Here is a 17,891-nt window from a genome sequence, read left to right on the forward strand (position 1 = left end):
TGGCGTGAATCTCAGCTCACTGCAACCTCCACCCGCCGAGCTCAGGTGATTCTCTAGCCTCAGCCTCCCAAGTAGCTGGGATTACGCGTGTGTGCCACCACGCCCAGCTAATCTTTAAATTTTTAGTAGAGACAGGGTTTCACCATGTTGGCCAGGCTGGTCTCAAATTCCTGATCTCAAGTGATCCATCCACCTGGGCCTCCCAAAGTGCTGGGATTACAGGCATGAGCCACTGCACCCGGCCTCAATTTGTAGTCTTTTATCCCTCACCCTCTAGGATCAAGGAGTTTAAAGCACTTGTCTGAAGTCCCACTGGGATCAGTGATGGAGTAGGACACTAGCCCATCCTACCTCAACTCCGACGCCCATGGCGAAAGCCAGTTCTCCCTCTGGCCTAAAGAGCAACTCCTTGGCTTACTTAGAAAAGTAAGTGAGCAGACATGATTATAACCCAAAGCAAGAAATATCTAACCCCAGCTCTACCAAAATAAAAACATTTAGCTGGGTCTGGTGATGCATGCCTGTAGTCCCAGCTACTTGGGAGGCTGAGGAGGGAGGATCACTTGAGCCCAGGAGTCCAAGGCTGCAATGAGCTATGATCGCACCATTGCACTCCAGCCTGGGCAACATAGTGAGACCCCATCTCTTAGAAAAGAAAGATCCCACACTATGCTGCTGTGAACACACAACAACAAAATTGACAAACTTACAGCTTTCCATTGTCCCCAGATGACTGACAGTTCAATCACTGTACAATTAAACACTGGAAACGTCACAGAGACCAATCATTTCTCCTTCTGAAAACCATTTTCTTTCATCCTCTCATTTCAGGTTCCAAGACTACGGCAGTGGTTTCCATTGTGCCAGAGAGGAAATCAGCCCTCCCCAGCTGCAAACAGACAGGCACACAGGGCCCGAGTTGGCCTCCTAGAGCCATAGAGCCTCCCTCTGTGGAAGCAGCTCGCTGGGACACGAAGCCAGCTTCTTGCTTTTGTTGTGATGATGTTCAGGACATGCCTGCCCTCTGCCGAGCAACAGCAAGAGCACAGGAGCAGCCATCGGGCTCTGCAGCCAGGGCTTCCTGCAAGCTCCAGAGCCAGGCCCAAGAATCCAGGCCCTGGAAGGGCTCGCAGGAGTTTCACGTGGGTTATGCTGATACTCCTTGACAGCATCCACTTTTCAATGGGAAATTATAGCACGCTCATTGCTCTGACGAGTAAGAGCCGCTCAAGAGGGGCTTTCTCATGGCTGTGATGACGGGAAGAGACACAACCCAATCACCTGCATCCCTCTACCAGGGCAGGTGACTGCCCCGCTGCTTTGGCGACACTGGGGCTGGTGCGCTCTGGGAGGAAAGATTCCCTTGATGGGGGTTTAAGCTGTTGCTGGAGAATCACGAGGATTCCTGCCCAGTAACTCCCCCCAAATAAATAAAGGAGGGAAAAGAAGCCAGTCACACTACACCGGCCACACACAGTCATTAAGGAAAGAATCCAAGGGAAAAGTATGTCCACCTCAAAAAGAAAACTGAGAAACTGCACAGGACCGTGGCCTCCAGCATTATTTTTTAAAAGACACTTTTTTAGAAGTTGAATGAATGATTCGCTGGCTCAGAGGAAGTGGAGGCAATTCCTCCCCACCAGGAAAGGTCTCAGAGAACACAGAATTCTGAGCTCAGAGCTGAGACGTGTCTGGGGACTGCTCTCCTGCATATGGGCCCAGTGCAAATAATTCATCATTTGCAGAAAAAAAAAAAAAAAACCACCCAGCTCTGGATCAAGACAAGCCTTCTGTGTTCCAAGTCTCTTTCAGGACATCGTTGTTTGCAAAATCATGCCACAGCCCCCTCTCTCGGGGTCATGTGTGACATGGGCACTCCACAAAACCTGAGCATGCAGGGTCCATGCGCTACCACGTGGGGGCTGGACAGCCACGGGCGCTCCAAATGCGGTCCCCTGCTACCGGCAGCTCACCAACCCCAAAGCAGATCCCCCCAAACCAATGCTGATAGGCAAAGACCAGAAAAACACAGGCAATTAGTAAAGCCAGAGAAAGATCTCTGCCAAGTCTCAGAATCACCCCTAAAAAGGGCAAAGGGTGTTTTACGAACCTCTATTTCCACAGGGGTGTAGACAGAGCAATTAGCAGACAGGGTGCGAACATGCTGCCACACCCTCATGCCTAAGAATGCCCACTCCTGGGAGCACTCGGTGCTTCATCCACACTTGGGAGCACATACATGTGTACATGGATGTGCACACATGTTTGCACACACAGTTAAATAACTAGTTAACTAAGCTGGAACAAAACCTTTGCTCTGTATGAGAATGCCAAGCACATGGAGGAAACTGCCTGGTACAGAACACGCTGCTCAACAGCTTGGCAGGAGGGATTCATTCCTGGGGCACCACTGGCCTCTGCTGCCCACACGGGGCATAGCAGCTGCAGACAGCAGGCTCCATGAATAGCACGGGGGCTTCAGCATCACCCTCACAGCTGAAAGTGCCCTGGCCACACCACACTGTCCTTGCTGCATTCCCTTCTTCAGCGATTCCAAGTCCAAGGGTGCAGATTTTTCCAGAGGTTTTAAGGACTATGTTCCACTAGTCCCCCGGGCCCATCCCCAGCCTCAACAGGAGACGCACCCAGATGACAGGCCAAGGCTGAGCCACGTGGCTCCCACAGTCGGCTGCCCTTGGAGCCACCAGCACAGGTATTCCAGACTCCGAAAAGCCACCAGCTCCTAGTCTCCCTAACACATCTGAATTGTGAACTGCACAGGCAGCATGACACGCAGCTGCCAGGATGTGGTGAAATGCAAGTGCTGCCCAACTTCCGCCGCAACGGAAGCCCTCGGAGTGCATGAACATAATCCCGAGAAGGGCAGAGAGAGGCATCCATTCCAAAGATCGTCCTACCATGTGACTGGAATTCTACAGGGATCAGGATTCTACAGCCCAGAGAGTAGGGAGATGGAAGCCCCCGCTTCTGGCCTGCGCAGCACGGATCCTTAGGAAGGTCCGAAGCCTCTCTAAAGGGAGAGCTGAAGTCAGAGGGGTTGAGGGAGGAGGAGGGAACTGGCCCCAGCACCTCGGTGACTGCAAGGCATCCCTGGTTTCAGAGCATACTCCATCCCTCAGCATTCTACAGAACACTTCAGAACAAAATGCAGGGCTCCTCAGAAGCAGGAGGTCACGGAGGCCACAGCAGGTGGAGCCGTCAGATGCACAGGGCCGTCGCTCCCACCCCCACCCGCCACATGGGAATAAGCTGGTGGAGTTATTCCATCTCCATGCACCTCAGTGTCCTCCTCTTTAAAATGGGTACACAGGATACTGACCTCCACAGGAGGATGACAGGCATGAAATGACGGCATGCTTCTGAGCCGATGCCTGGCCACGGGAAGCGCCTCCCGGTGAAGGATGGCTAACTTCACCACCCGCCGCATGGCTGTCACAACACCAGGTTTCGGGGGGCTCACTGTGCACATCTGAGAAAGCTAAAGCTAAACAGCTCTATCCCCAGCAGTTGGTCTGGCATTGCCAGCACCGGGAACTCATGGCGAGCCTCCTGCCACAGCGCAGGCCCGAGGGGACCCCCTGCCCGCGCTGAAACAGCACTCTAAGGGTTCATCCGCAGTCACACTCATGAAACCTTTCCTGACACGGCTGGCCAGAGAGACCTCTGAGAGGTATTTGCATTAGCTGTTTGACAACCTTAATGTCAGACACATCCTTAGCTGTCCAGACATACACTCTAGCAAGGCTTTTTATTGAAGCTTCGTGACCTCTGGGGTCATTCTCTCCCTCTACTACCCATGGGAGGAAGGGCAAGAGTCAGGACCCATCCATGTCAAGACACACATAATCCAAGCGCTGGGTGATGGTGGGGTACGGAGAGCAACGAGCTCGTGGCCCTAGGTGGGGGTGCTGACTGGCCAGAGCAGGCCCCCATGGGAAAGGCACACCTGGGCAGTGGTTACCTAGAGTAACGTCTCAAAGGACGGCCACTGTCACCGCCACTGTTACTCATCATACAAACTGTCCCAATACCAGGCCTCTTGGGGCCTCCTTCTATATACCTAAGATCAAACCAAGACAGCTGAGACCCTCTCATCACCTCTGTTGCCTCCACACTGTCCCTGCTGCACACCCGTCGTGCTCAGACACCATCCCTCTCAAACTCCCCCCACTCGAGTTCAGCTGTGAAGCAGCAGCCAGGCATGGGAAAGGCCTCCATGACATCGCCGGCTGTTAAGAGTCAAACGTCAGCGTCCCTAAGAAGACCCTGTAGGACCCAGCCAGAAGGCACGACGGGGCCACCCTGCCAACCCCACCCGTCAGCAAACCTGGGCTCTCCTCTCGTCCTAACACCCCTGGGTCTCCCTGCTCTGCTTGAAGCAGCCTCGTCCCTGCTTGTCACGGAGTCAGTTTCTTTCTCATCCTGTAAGTCCCAGCTTAATCAGCAGCTTCGCAGAGAGGCCTCCCTCGTCACCCACCTAAAGCAGGTCTCCACGTTCTCCTATTGGTCTCCACGTTCTCCTATCGGTCTCCTCCTGAGAATTTAACACAACTTGCAATTACTCTGTTACCTGCTCAGTGCGTCTCCGAAACAGTCTGCAGTTCTGTTAGGTGAGCGCCATCATCACCCTGAGCCTAGCATGATGCCCTGCAGAGAGCAGGTGCTGAATGGAATGTATGCTGTGCAGTGAACCACAGAGACAGAGCATGCCGGCCCGCAGGGTGGCCAGCCGCAAGACCACCTGAGTGAAAACACGCTGCTCAACCAGTGCCCATCCACCTGCCGGTCTCAAGACAGAAGGCACAGGTGTGAGTCCAGGCTCTGATACCTGCTACCTGGGCAAGTCACTTTACTAAATCTTAGTTTGTCTATACAGGAGGGAGGGAAGAAAGGAAGGAAGGGGACGGTGAAAGGGAAAGGGAGGGGGAGGGGAGGGGGAAGGAGAGGGGAGGGGAGAGGAGGAGAGGGAGCAGTAGTGGCAGCAGCCATAGATGAGGTCAATCATTTCCCAACTTATTCCCAAGAACTCCAAGATTCCTTGAAGGTGACAAGACCCCCATTCCCCTGACCCTTCAACCAGAGCAGAGCAGAGCTCTCTCATCTGTTTAAGACAACTGGCTTCCACATAAGATTTTGTTTGGTAACAAAGCGCTTGCCGCTAGACTAAGCTCTGTGCTGCCTGGACCCACAAGTCTGAGACGCGCTGTGAGGTCTCGGCAAGGCCCCAGTCTCTGGGCTGCCACCCAGGACCACCCGCACACACACCCTCCGCCTTGGAGCAGCCCCTGCCACCATCACCAGGGCCCACCTCATTAAAGACGATCCTGGACGGCGGTCTCTTCGTCGGCTTCACTGTGGTTTTCCACGTCCTCCCAAAGAAGTGCCGGTAGGTGACATCAAAGAAAGACACTCGCAGATGGCATTCAACCTCTGACAGTACCTCCAGCACGCCCTAGGAGACAACGGGGAATTGACCCTCAAGAGTCTGAGCACCATGAGCCAGGAGGTCACTGGCAGGCCATGTGGGTGCATATGGGGCCACCTCGCTCAGATATCAGCACGCTGGTTTCCTTATTGGGAGGCTACCTCTCTCCCACAGCTACTGGTCTTGGTGGGGTTATAAACCAAAGCATTTGGCCCTCCCCTGGCCAACGAAAGACTGCAGTCCCTTGGAACAGACACAGGCTTCTGACTCAGCCAGAGCCCAGGACGCACAAGAGGACATGACCACAGGAGACACATGCGCCTGCCAGGATGAGGCCCAGGGCTCCCAGCAGCCAACAGGTGAGAGAGAACAAGTCCAGGGGACATCACCTGAGACCTCGCTCAAGCCACACCTGAAGCTTATGCTGGCTGTGGATTTGCTGTGAGTCAACAAATCGCCTCTCACGTAAATCATTTTGGATGGGTTTGTTAATCATTTCCAACCAAATGAGCCCTTCCTGATATAACCAGAAACTAAATCCTCAACTTCCCAGATTTTGGGGTGACATTGGCAAAGCAAAAAGCAGATCTTTGAGAATTGAGAAATCATGGCTACAAATACAGAACAAAGCAGCCAGAGTGTAGACAGGCAGGACCCTGCCCAGAGCGGCAGCCAGAGTGTAGACAGGCAGGACCCTGCCCCGGAGCTTTACCACTTACAGCAAGTATTGCTTTAGCCTTTTCTCTTCTGTGACAGGTTCTTACCTGAGACAAGAGTCCTCCACCTTTCTTTCACCTATTCACTTAGTAAACGTTACTTACACATCTATTCTGCGCATTGACTCTCTGCCAGGCACATTTCCAGGCACTAGGGAAACAACAAGGAACAGACAAAATCTCTGCCCTTACAGGGCTTACATGGTGAAGAACGGGGAGAGAGGTGGGTGGGGCGGGGCAGGGCAGGGCAGGGCAGGCTCTCTGAGATGATCCTTGAGCTGAGAACAAGGGGGGCATGAGAAGAACCACAGGGAGTTTGGGGAGAGGGAGCCAGGCAGGAGGAGCAGCAAACTCAAAGGTCCTGAGAGGAAGAGAGCACACGTGCTCCAGGAGCCAGCGAGAAGTGCAGGAACTATATTTAGCTATAGTACCTGTGTTTTGTTTTTGTTTTTAAGAAAAGGGTCTCGTCTGTCACCCAGGCTGGAGGTCTGGCCACTGCAGCCTCCACCTCCCAGGCTCAAGCAATCCTCCTGCCTCATCCTGTCAAGTAGCTGGGACCACAGGTGCACTCCACCACACCCGGCTAATTTTTGTACTTTTTGTAGAGAGTGGGTTTTGCCAGGCTGGTCTTGATCTCCTGTCCTCAAGTGACCCGCCCGTCTCGGCCTCCCAAAGTGCTGGGGTTACAGGGGTAAGCCACCATGCCCGGCCTGTATTTTCTAATTTTCTGTATTACTGATGCTCTGGCATCTGGGGCCTCAGTGACGAGATAAGACTGTCCCCCAGAGCCGGTTAATTCCTAGGGTGGCAAATGGCAGGCCTATCAGAATGTGTCTGACATGAAAACCAACCCGTCCAGAGACCACATGCCCCACTACCTCTGTCTGGCTCACACACCCCAGGAGTCCCACCCTCTGCCATGGTCTCTCAGGGTCAGTGACCAGACACCTCGGGCCATCCCTGCACCTCAGAGACCACGACATGACTCTCCTTGGCCAACGCAAGCCCGTCCAGCTGCCCACCCTCCCTGGCCCAGTCCTCCCACAAAACCATAATCAAGTCTCTGCCCATGCCTCCCTTCCACCCTCCTGCCTCCTGACCAACCCTGCGCTTCCCCAGGTGGCCTGTGGGACATGGCCTACCCCTCGTCTTGGGAGCCCTGAGTAACAGACAGGGTCTCAGCTGAGTTGTCTCCTGATCCGCTGGCCTCACCACCCCTAAATGGAAACCAGTCCCAGGTACATTCTAAGCAGAAAGCCCACCGGACTGCAGCAGGCTGGGCCAGGGAGGAGAGAAGGAATGAGCGCCAGGCGCAAGAGCGTTCAGGCAGGCCTCACGGCGCGAGGAGAAGCTGGGTTCTCACTCCAATCATGCAGGGAGGCCAGGGAGAGATTCTAAGCAGAAATGACACAATCTGGTTCGGGATTTAAGAAAATTCCCGCAGCTGCCATGTGGGGGCGGGAGTGGAAGCAGGGGCCAATTAGGAGGAGGCGAGACAGGGAGGGGCAGGGAGGGTGACAGGAAGCAGGCACCGCTGGGCTCTGCTGCTTTGCAGGAGTGGCTGCGTGGTCATGAAGGGAGAAAAGTGGGAAGGGCCAGCTGCCTAGGTCGGCCCAGCCCTCCCAGGCCCAGTACTGAATCTCGCATCTCAAGTGAAGCAACGTGGAGGGAGGTGGTGTTATCCATGAGGACAGGGAAGGTGGGCAGAGCAGGTCTGAAGACTCCAAGCCCAGCTCCCATCACCACGCACCGGGGCCTGGCCCCCAGCTCCCATTACCACGCTACCTCCCTGTCCTCCTCCCTCTTCCCCTCAGTCTCTCTTCCTCCTCAGCTCCTCCCGCATCCAGACCTGCCCTCTGAGCCTGCCTCATCTCTCCCCAGAGCAACCCCCTGGCTTTTCCATGTTGACTGTCTGCTGCCCCCATCTACAACGTGAGCTCTCTGAGGACACAAGCCTGAAATAGTCTGTTCCCTGCTCTGTCCCTGGGGCCTAGGCAAAGCTTCTGCACGTGCCCCTCCTCACCCGGGACTGCCTGGGTTCCCCCAGCACCGCCACCTCCTCCTCCTCCTCTCCTGCACTCTCAGGAGGCCATTCTCAGGCAGGATCCCGTGGCTCCCAGAACCGTCGCTGGCTTGGGCTTCTTTCCAGAATGCCAGATCCTAACCACCCTCCCACCACCTCTATGCTACTTCACATCCAGTCTATTCAAATAAGAATCCACTGAGAGCTTCCTGAAGACACAGTATAGGGCAGAGTCAACTCTGTGTCATCTGCACGGTTCCTAACATATCGTGGTGCCCAATACATATCAAGCTGAACTGAAATACTCATCCCAAAATAAAGAAATATAAGCAATGATCATGGTAAAATTAAACAAAAAAAGTAAATGGGACAGTAAAAGAAATATACTAAAATCATTAATAAAGTGCCCTGAATTCAAAACAAGCATGTAATATTCTTCAGCCAACACCTTTCACAGGGAAGCAAGCTTTGGCCATTATCTAAAGCTATCAATTCTCAAAACAACTAAAATTATACAAACTTATAAGACTATCTATACCAAACCATCATCTATTTCCAAACTCTATTTATAGAATTTATATGAATTCTATTTATCTTCTTTTAAATACTGTATTTTGATTGATCTTTGTAAATAAAACAACGTTGCATTCCTGCAGTAAGCCCCACTTGATCCTAATACCCCATCTTTTATACATATTGCTGGCTTTGCTGTCTTAATATTTTCAGGGCTGCTGTGTTAATATTCATGAGGGATACAAGTCTGTACTTTTTTTTGTAGTGCCCTTGACTGGGTATCAGAATTATGGTGGCCTCAAAAAATGAGCTGGGAAGTGTTCCCTCCTCCTCTATTTTCTGAGTTTGTCTAGAATTCGTCTTATTTCTTCCTTTAGTATCTGATAAAATTCAACATTGTATTTTTAACCTCTGTAGCGTACGTTATCATGATGCTTCTTTCATTTTAATACTGGTAGTCTGTGTTTTCTTTTTTTTTTGTCTTGATCAATTTTATCAATCTTTTCAGAGAATCAACTTCTGGCTTTGCTGATTTTCTCTATTATTTGTCCTTTATTGATTTCTGCTCATATACAGTCATGTGTAACATAATGACATTTCGATCAGCAACAGACTGTATATATGACTGGCCCCTTAAGATTGTAATATTATATTTTTACTGTTTTTTCTATGTTTGATATACCGTTGTGTTACAATTGCCAATGGTATTCAGTACAGTAATGTGCCATACAGGTTTGTAGCCTAGAAGCAACAGGCTATACCATGGAGCCTAGGTGTGAGGCAGGCTCTACCCTCTAGGTTTACGTAAGTACATCCTATGATGTTTGCACAATGACAAAATCACCTAACACCATTTCTCAGAATGTGTCGGCACTGTCAAGGAACCATGCATAACTGTATTTACCATTTCCTTCCTTCTAGTTACTTTGTATCTAATTTGTTCCTTTATTTAGGTTTGTATCTAATTTGTTCCTTTATTTAGGTTGTTAAGGAGGAAACAGACGTCACTGATTTTATACCTTCTTCTTTTCTAATATAGTCATGTAAAGCTATACATTTCCCTCAAAGAACTGTATTAGTTATATCCTATAAATCTGTATATTTTCTTCCATTACTCAGTTCAAATTATTTTCTAATTTCCCTATTAATTCTTCTTTGATCCAGTATGTTAATTTCCTATTTGAGGATTTTCTAGATCTCATATTATTTATTTCTAACTTAAAAGCACAGTAGTCGATAAACATACTCTATAATTTGGGTCCTTTGAAGCTTATTGGGACATTTTAATGGCCCAGCATACGGTCTATCTTGGTGACTGTTCCATATGAACTTGGGAAGAACGTGTTCTCTAGCTTTGTTGGGAGTGGTGTTTAAGAGATGACAGGGTGATTGATGGTACACTTGGGAAGAATGTGTACTCTAGCTTTCTTGGGAGTAGCGTTAAGAGATGACAAGGTGATTGACGGTATTCTTCAGAGCTTCCAAATCCCTATGAGTGTTCTGATCTATCTGTTTTTTCAATAATTGAGAGAAGAAGAGTTAAAAGTCTCCAACCATGATTATGAATCTGAATATAGTTCCCTTTAGTTCTGTCCAATTTTGCTCTTTTGTACAAAAGAGTTATCAGAACAGACCTTACTGTTATGCTTTGAAAGACCAGCTTAGAAGTCTGCCCTTTTGCTGGAGTCTGGGAACTTAGATTTCAAGAGAGTTCCTACCACCTAACTGGTAAGAGGAGCTCACTGTGCCTAAACTGTTTATGTACTGTGGCTTATGCTAAACACGTGTTTCCCTTCTGAGAGTCTGGAATTTTGGACATGCTACACAACATTTCACGTGTGTTGTTACAATTCATTGCTGGAGGAATCAAACGCATCCTGTGTGACTCAACTGAGAGAGGACTCTTGGAAGCTTGTACCCTCTTCCCTCAGACATCCCCCATATGCCTCCTCCCTTTGCTGATCTTGCTCTGTATCCTTCTGCTGGATCAACCTTAGCTGAGAGTATGACTACATGCTGAGTCATGTGAGTCCTCTTAGAGACTCTTCAAACCTGGGAGGTGGTCTTGGAGGCCCCTAACACAAGTGCATACACATTTAGAGATTGTTACGTTTCCTTGATGATCACTGTCTTTATGAGGTGCCCCTTTATTTCTGGGAATACTCTTCACCTTGAAATCTACTTTTTCTGATACTAGTATAGATGCAAAGCTTTCTTTGCTTAGTATGTACATGGTTTATATTTTTCCACCCTTCTACCTGCAACCTGTTTACGTCTTTATGCTTAGAGTGCACTTTTTTGTAAACAACATGTAATTGGGTTTTAAATAACTTTTAACATACGACTTTGGATCAGGAATTCCACTTCTAGGAATTATTCTACAGACATATCTGTACATGAAAAAAATGAGGTTATTCACTGTAGCAGTGCCTATAATAGCAAATGACTGGGAAAAGTCTAAATGTTCATCAATCACGGCCTCACTCAATAAATGATGGCTCATTCATATAAAGAAACACCTTGCGGTCTTAAGAACAATAAAATTTTCTTCATGTAATAACATGAATGATCGATAAGACATACTGCCTGAATTTTTTTGAAAAGCAAGGTACAGTGCCGGGCATGTGGCTACACCTGTAATCCCAGCACTTTGGGAGGTAGAGGCGGGCAGATCACCTGAGCTCAGGAGTTTGAAACCAGCCTGGCCAACATGGTGAAACCCCGACTCTACCAAAAATACAAAAACTTAGCCGGGCATGGTGGCGCACATCTGTGGTCCCAGCTACTTGGGAGGCTGAGGAAGGAGGATCACTTGAGCTCAGGGGGAGGAGGTTTACAGTGAGCTGAGATCACACCACTGCACTACAGCCTGGGTGACAGAGTGAGACTTCATCTCAAAAAAAAAGAAAGAATGGTACAGAACGGAATACAGGAAGTACCATTTGCATTTTAAAAAGGAAAAATAAATGTAGGTATATTTACTTGTATTTGCTTAGAATTTAAGAAAGTTGTACGAAAACACACTGTATCTAGGGTGATACACCAGGTGCCTGGGGATGCCATGGGATGATTCACTTTTCCTCTGCATCCTTGTCAACTTTGAACTACGTGCATTACCTTTTCACAAATAAAAATAAAATGAAATGGGGAAATAAAATTTCCTTTGCAAAACTCCTAGGAAAGAGGGAAGGGCTATCAACTATCCTGTGAGCTTCTGGAAGGCGGCTGAGCCAGACCAGGAGGGTGGCATCCCAGCTAAAGCCGTCGCCCTGGGCAGCTGGCTTCACTCTTAATTAGCAGGTGCTGCTGCTCGTCTATAAAACGGGAGTAAGGTGGTGGCAGCCTCATAGAGCTGCTCTGAGGATTAAGTGAATGAACACAGTGAAGTGCTAGAAGTAAAGCTACAAAAGCAGCAGCCACCACAGTACCTACCACAGTGGCAAAGACACAGCAGGTGCTCAATCCAAGGGCTTGGAATTGAACGATATAGAACATCAGTGATTTAATAATAGTAAATTAGTCACAGACCCGGGGCTCCAACAACTGAATATATGTGAATATCACTCTCCCAGCTGCAGAGGAAAACGGCCTTGCCAAGCCAAATCCTGTAAAAAGGGTTGACAATGGCAAGACTGATCCTTCTCACGCATTCCCACCGGCCACTGGGCCTCACGAGGACAATCCAATCGTGTGGGTGTCCCGTGGGCAGCAGCACAGAAGCACCAGCTTGTCCAGCAGGTTCCCCGCCAGCTGAAGGGCACAGATGGATGTGCCGCCATCAGGGCCTGGGCCTGAGTGTGCCCAAGGCCGTGGTACATCCAGCCACGCACAGAGCTGCCAGAATGCCCGTAGCTCAGCCCCTGCAGTCCTCACTGCCAGGCTGAAAGCGGGCCATGCTGAGCCATGCACAAGGCCACCTGGCTCACAAATAACCCAGGAAATCAGAGTACTTGGGTTTTTAAATTGCTCCACTGTGGGCAGAAAGAAACCCTACCCAGAGTCAAAAGTGCTGACCATGTCATTGAATCATAGATTCTCTTTGCTGATGGGCCACTTTGCATCCGAATACTGCCAAGGCCCAAGGTAATGGGTATGGTGGTATAAGACTCAAACGAGTAAGTGAAAATCAATACAGATGCTCTTTGACCTATGATGGGACTCTATCCTGTTTAAGTTGAAAATGTCATAAGTTCAAATGCATTTAATACCCTTAACCTACTGTACATCAGAGCTTAGCGTGGCCCAGCTTCAACATGGTCAGAACACTTGCATGTTCCTACAACTGGGCAAAGTCATCTAACACAAATCCTATTTTTAAATAAAATGTTGGGTATCTCCTGTAATATATTGAAAACAGCACTGAAAGTGAAAAACAGAATGGCTATATGGGTACCACCATAAAGTAGCAAAATCAAAAATCAAAGCATCGTAAGCCAGGGACCATCCATCTGTTAACTGGAAGCCTCATGTCAGCTAAGAGCAATAACACGCATTTGCTAACAGCACATTTTGTTACCTGCCTAATTACCGGTCCGTCCAGCCACTTGAGGACACACTGGAATGCCGTGGATTCCTTCCAAGGCTGGCGCGCTCTCTGTGGGTGGGGAGGGACAAGCACGTTTTGGGTGAAGATCCTGTGCCAGTCGTTCATCCTGCCCGCCTGAGGGTCCCGTGGGCTTCCCGGATGATCTGTGCCAGTCGTATTCAAATAAAGAGAAGAGCTGTGAGGGCTACAGTGGTCACAGCAATCCTGAAGGCTTCTGCCTCCCACTAAATCCCAGAGGAACCTCCATCCCCCAAACCCACACTCTGCAAACCCCAGAAGAGTGGACTTTGTTGCTGGCTGGCACCCATGCTGCCTCCTCTAGGAAGTACCATTTGCATTTCAAAAAGGAAAAATAAACGTAGATATATTTATTTGTATTTGCTTAGAATTTATGAAAGCTGTACAATAACACACTGTATCTAGGGTGATACACCAGGTACCTGGGGTCAACATGGGATGATTCACTTTTCCTGTGTATCCTTGTCAACTTTGAACTATGCGAATTACCTTTTCAGAAATAAAAATAAAATGGAGAAATAAAATCTACCTCCAGAGAACCCTCCGCCCCACCCCTACCCCCGTGGGCCAGACTCAGGGCACGACTCTCCTGACCTCTGTGGCTGGTTCCGGATGGGGACATGAAGGGATGTTTTATTCAGCTGTGTAAGTTGGATACCACACAAGGACACCAGGGGTGGGTGGCTGCTGAAATACAGTCCTAGCGTTAAGACTGTCTTGTAGGGGACCCAGGGAGCATGAGAGAGGGAATACAGCCCTTGGGCCAAGAGGTGGTCAGCCTGAAACTGCCCGGGGCCACCTTAGGACACACATAAAAACAAGCAGAGAGGAAAAGGTAGGAGTGAGGGCCACTGGGTCCCCATGTCATTATTAGAGACCTCAGTTGGTCACCCCACGACACTTCAGCTACATGAACAAAGTCTCTTGTTGCTAAAGCCATTTGGGGACAGGTTTCAGGTGTTACCAGCTTCTTGGTGGGTCTTGGCCCGTTTTGAGTGTTATCTGATCCTGTCCAGCCAGACCGGGATCTAAATCTTCTCTAGCCAACACAGAATCCAAAGATCTGAACCTCAAGAAGAGGTTGAATTCCGTAAACTAAAATGGCGAGTAAGGAGAAAAAGAAGTGGGTTTGGCCTTCTAAGACAGCAGCTCTCTAAGTACATTCCCCAAACCCAAGGTTCAACAGGATCCTGTCAGGGGCTCTACAAGGTCAAAACTATTTTCATGACACCCAGGTGTTATCTCTTTCACCATGGTGGCATGGTGGGGCAGAGGCAGCAGCAGGGAAAGCCACTGGGGCCTCACTCAACCCAAGGCTGGTTGGGTTGAGTGAGGTCCTCCCAACCTCTCACAGAAAAGAACAAGGCAGCTTCAAGTAAGAACATCCTTGGTGAAGCCGGAAAAACTATTAATCTTATTACTTCTTGACCTTTGAGTACACACGTTCTTAATTTTGTGAGACGAAATGGAAAATACACAACAAGCATTTCTGCTGCAAACTGAAAGGCAACAGTCATCCCCGGGGAAGCCTGGCTGTGACTGGGCTGCATGCTGAACACACCGCTTTTATTATTCAACACCATTTTCACTAAGAAGAATGACTGAGAGACAAACATGGGTACTTGGCAGACATCTTCTCAAACGTGAACAAAGTTAGCATGTCACTTCCGGGAAAACAACTGCAACAAAAATGGAGTTTCCAAGCAAAAATGAGAATTAAGAACATTTGTATCCTCTACCATGAGCCTACTAGCTTCACACTTCTTCAAGACTTTCCTGATGAGAGGGGCAGTGATATAACGTGATCTTCTAAGGTTACACCATTAAATGTGTCAATAGTTGGAAGGTCTGCATGACTCCGTGAACCAATATTTTCTGAACAATGCGTAATGGTACAAAATCCTGCAAGAAGAAAACATCCACCCAAAGTGCAAGACAGACCAAAGGAGTTTAATGTCAGAGCACGAAGAGTTCATTCACATGGTGGAGACTCTGCTTTAGAACAAATCCTTAAGAAACTTCTGCTCGTAGGGTTTCAATGCAGCAGCAAAGAATATCCACAATGACCCAAGAGACTCCTCCCTAACTAGATCGGGATGGATTTCCTTCACATACTTCAACCAAGGCAACACAAGGCAACAGACTGAGTACAGAAGCAAACAGGAGCCTTCAGCTGTCCTCTCTTAAGGAGACTGTAAAGATATTTGCAAGAATGCAAAAGAATCCCACTCTTCTAAATTTTTTTTTGTTTTGGATAATATAGTTGGTTTTTGTAAAAAATGTTTTTATGTTAACATGTCACAGCCTTATTTTTAAATAAATTAATATTTTTAACATTTCTCAGTTTTAACTTCTATGGCAGTAAACATTGGTAGATATAACTCACATAAACAAAAGTTCTTTGGGGTCCTCAATAATCTTTTAAAGGGTAAAGGGATCTGAGACCAAAAAGTTTGAGAAGGGTTGTGCTAATGGTTCACCCCCTGCATGCTCCCGGCATGTGTGGGAACCGAGAGGACATGACCAGGCAGCCTGAGAGGGGCCTTGGCCCAGGGTCCCGCCTCCACCCACAGTGCACCCAGACGCTGCATCCTTGGCCCAGGGTCCCGCCTCCACCCACAGTGCACCCAGACGCTGCATCCTTGGCCCAGCGTCCCGCCTCCACCCACAGTGCACGCAGATGCTGCATGTGGGCCAGGTATTCCTGAGGACCAGACTCAGTCTGGTCCTGTGTGAATCCAGCAGGCACACATGCTGGTTTGTTCCTTTTTGTTCTCTGTGGGCTATTTTTGTCGCTCAACTTCCCTTGTTTTGTGGAGGACCCTGACCCAATTCCATGTATGGGGAGAGCTGCTCCCCGATTCCAGCCAGAGACTGCAGTGATTGCTTCAAGGAGGAACACATGGCCCACACTGAGCCATCAGTCTTCCCCGGGAGACTTGAGCCCAGGATGTCTCTCCTCCAATGCCCACAACTGCCCACACCATGCCAGCCCAGAGCCCCAGGAGCCACCACAGGGAGAGCCGACTTTGGACTTCTGACCGGCCTAACTGGAAAAGAACAAATTTGTGCTACTTTTAAGCAACCAAGTCTGTGGGACTTTCTTACAGGAGCCACAGGAAATCATACAGCTGTCCACGACTTATAAGCAGAAGACACCTGACCAATACCAGCTCAAGGGCCATCTCCCCCAGGAGGGCTTCCCAGGTGCTCCCAGGGTCCAGGCCCCAGGCTCACATGGCCCCTGTGCTTCCCTTGGTCACATCATTCGTCACCTATCTTGTGTTGAATTGCTCGCTGGCCAAGTTCTTGAAGAAAGAAGCCTCATTCCTCCTGTGTTCTTGGTACCGTCACAACTCAGTAAATGGTCACGGAACCAAACAGAAGCTTTAGCAAAGCTACCCTCAAGCTTTTCTTTCCCACTGATGTTTTATAACATTCAGAAATGTATTCACACACAATGCAGGCCGTGATGGCCCCAGGTGGGGATTTCAGAGAGGAAGTCTCTCCTGACGCAGATGCCCATGCTCCTCACCTGCCCCAGATTTCTGACCCGGTGCCTCCTGCCCTCTCCCTGGGTGTCTGCAGGACTCAGTGCCACACTTGGCCCAAGGACACTGCTGAAGGACGTGCATACGCCAGTCGACCCTCACAGGGAGCATGAAGCATGCCGGCCCCCTGCTGTACTAGGAGGGCAGACACTAGGCGGAAGGGCATCCATTCCGAAAGCACCTGCCACCCACACGGAAGTCCTGAGGCTCGGGATGTGGAGGCAGGGCAGTCCTAGTCTGAGGGGCCACGGAGGCCGAGGTGACACCTGAGACTCTGCAGGTGGGAGCCCAAGCGCCCGCAGCAGCTCTCACTGCCATCCCAGCACCTCACAAACCTCTCCGGGTGCCCTTCCACCTGCTCCTTGCTCCTTTCCACCTCTGCTCTGGCCTCTAGGAGTCAAACCAAATGCTCCCTCCTCAGAGCGAGAGCCCCATCCCCCACCTCCGGCTGCTCCCACACAGGGCAGGTGACAGAAGAGCCACCACGCTTCACCAGGGCTGTGCTGTAGTCCTGCGAGACTGTGAGCTCCATGACACCAGGCTGGGTCTTCAGCAAAAGTCTTTTAAGGATGAAATACAAATGCCCTGGAGGAAGTGCAGAGGGGCCTTTGGGGCCAAATCAACAATAAAAGAGAAAATCGAGAAGGCTCCAGGTCTTGAACCCAAGAAAAGGGTACAGTGGGCTCTCCAGGGGAAAAAAAAAAAGAAGAAGAAGAAAATACACCCACTTTTAATGAGCCCCTGATGCAAGACAGGAACTCACATTCTATGGTTACTATTCCAACAACTCTGCCAAATGAGAATCATCATTATCGCCATCTTACAGATGAGAACACTGAGACTCAGAAAGGATAAACAGCCAATCCAAGGTCACACAGCTAGCTATTATAACTAGCTATTATAATAGTATTATAGATATAATACTGTAAGCTATTATAACTACCTCCCACTACCTCAATCAAGGAGGCCAGGAGAGGCCAAGGGAGAAGAGAGGCCCAGAGGGAAAAAGTAAGAGCACCAAAGGAACCCAGGGCTAATGCTGTCTCCTCTTTAACTTCAGGACAGATTCGCAGCCTCC

At 49.4% G+C, this 17,891-nt stretch overlaps 1 protein-coding gene across 30 annotated transcripts in view; it reads right to left on the reverse strand.

Annotated features, from left to right (window-relative positions):
- NPHP4 (nephrocystin 4) overlaps nt 1–17,891 on the reverse strand; it is a 129,615-nt gene that overhangs the window by 110,130 nt on the left and 1,594 nt on the right. For 21 of the 30 annotated variants that reach the window (NR_111987.2, XR_007058632.1, XM_006710563.4 and 18 more), the window contains 2 exons: nt 13,215–13,387; nt 5,330–5,473 (listed from right to left, as the gene is read on the reverse strand). The exons of 1 other annotated variant lie outside the window; for it this stretch is intronic. Coding sequence is in view for 18 of the 29 variants with exons in the window: in XM_006710563.4 (XP_006710626.1) it covers nt 5,330–5,473; nt 13,215–13,349 (279 nt within the window). In the remaining 11 variants the exon portion in view is untranslated. Of the gene's footprint in view, nt 1–4,498; nt 4,556–5,329; nt 5,474–13,214; nt 13,388–13,684; nt 13,752–13,856; nt 17,888–17,891 lie in introns of those variants that run through there. 8 more of the 30 variants (XM_017000999.2, XM_047417599.1, XM_047417590.1 and 5 more) reach the window with 4 other exon arrangements.

This window comes from Homo sapiens, chromosome 1, assembly GCF_000001405.40.
Source record: "Homo sapiens chromosome 1, GRCh38.p14 Primary Assembly".
Classification (NCBI taxonomy): domain Eukaryota; kingdom Metazoa; phylum Chordata; class Mammalia; order Primates; family Hominidae; genus Homo; species Homo sapiens.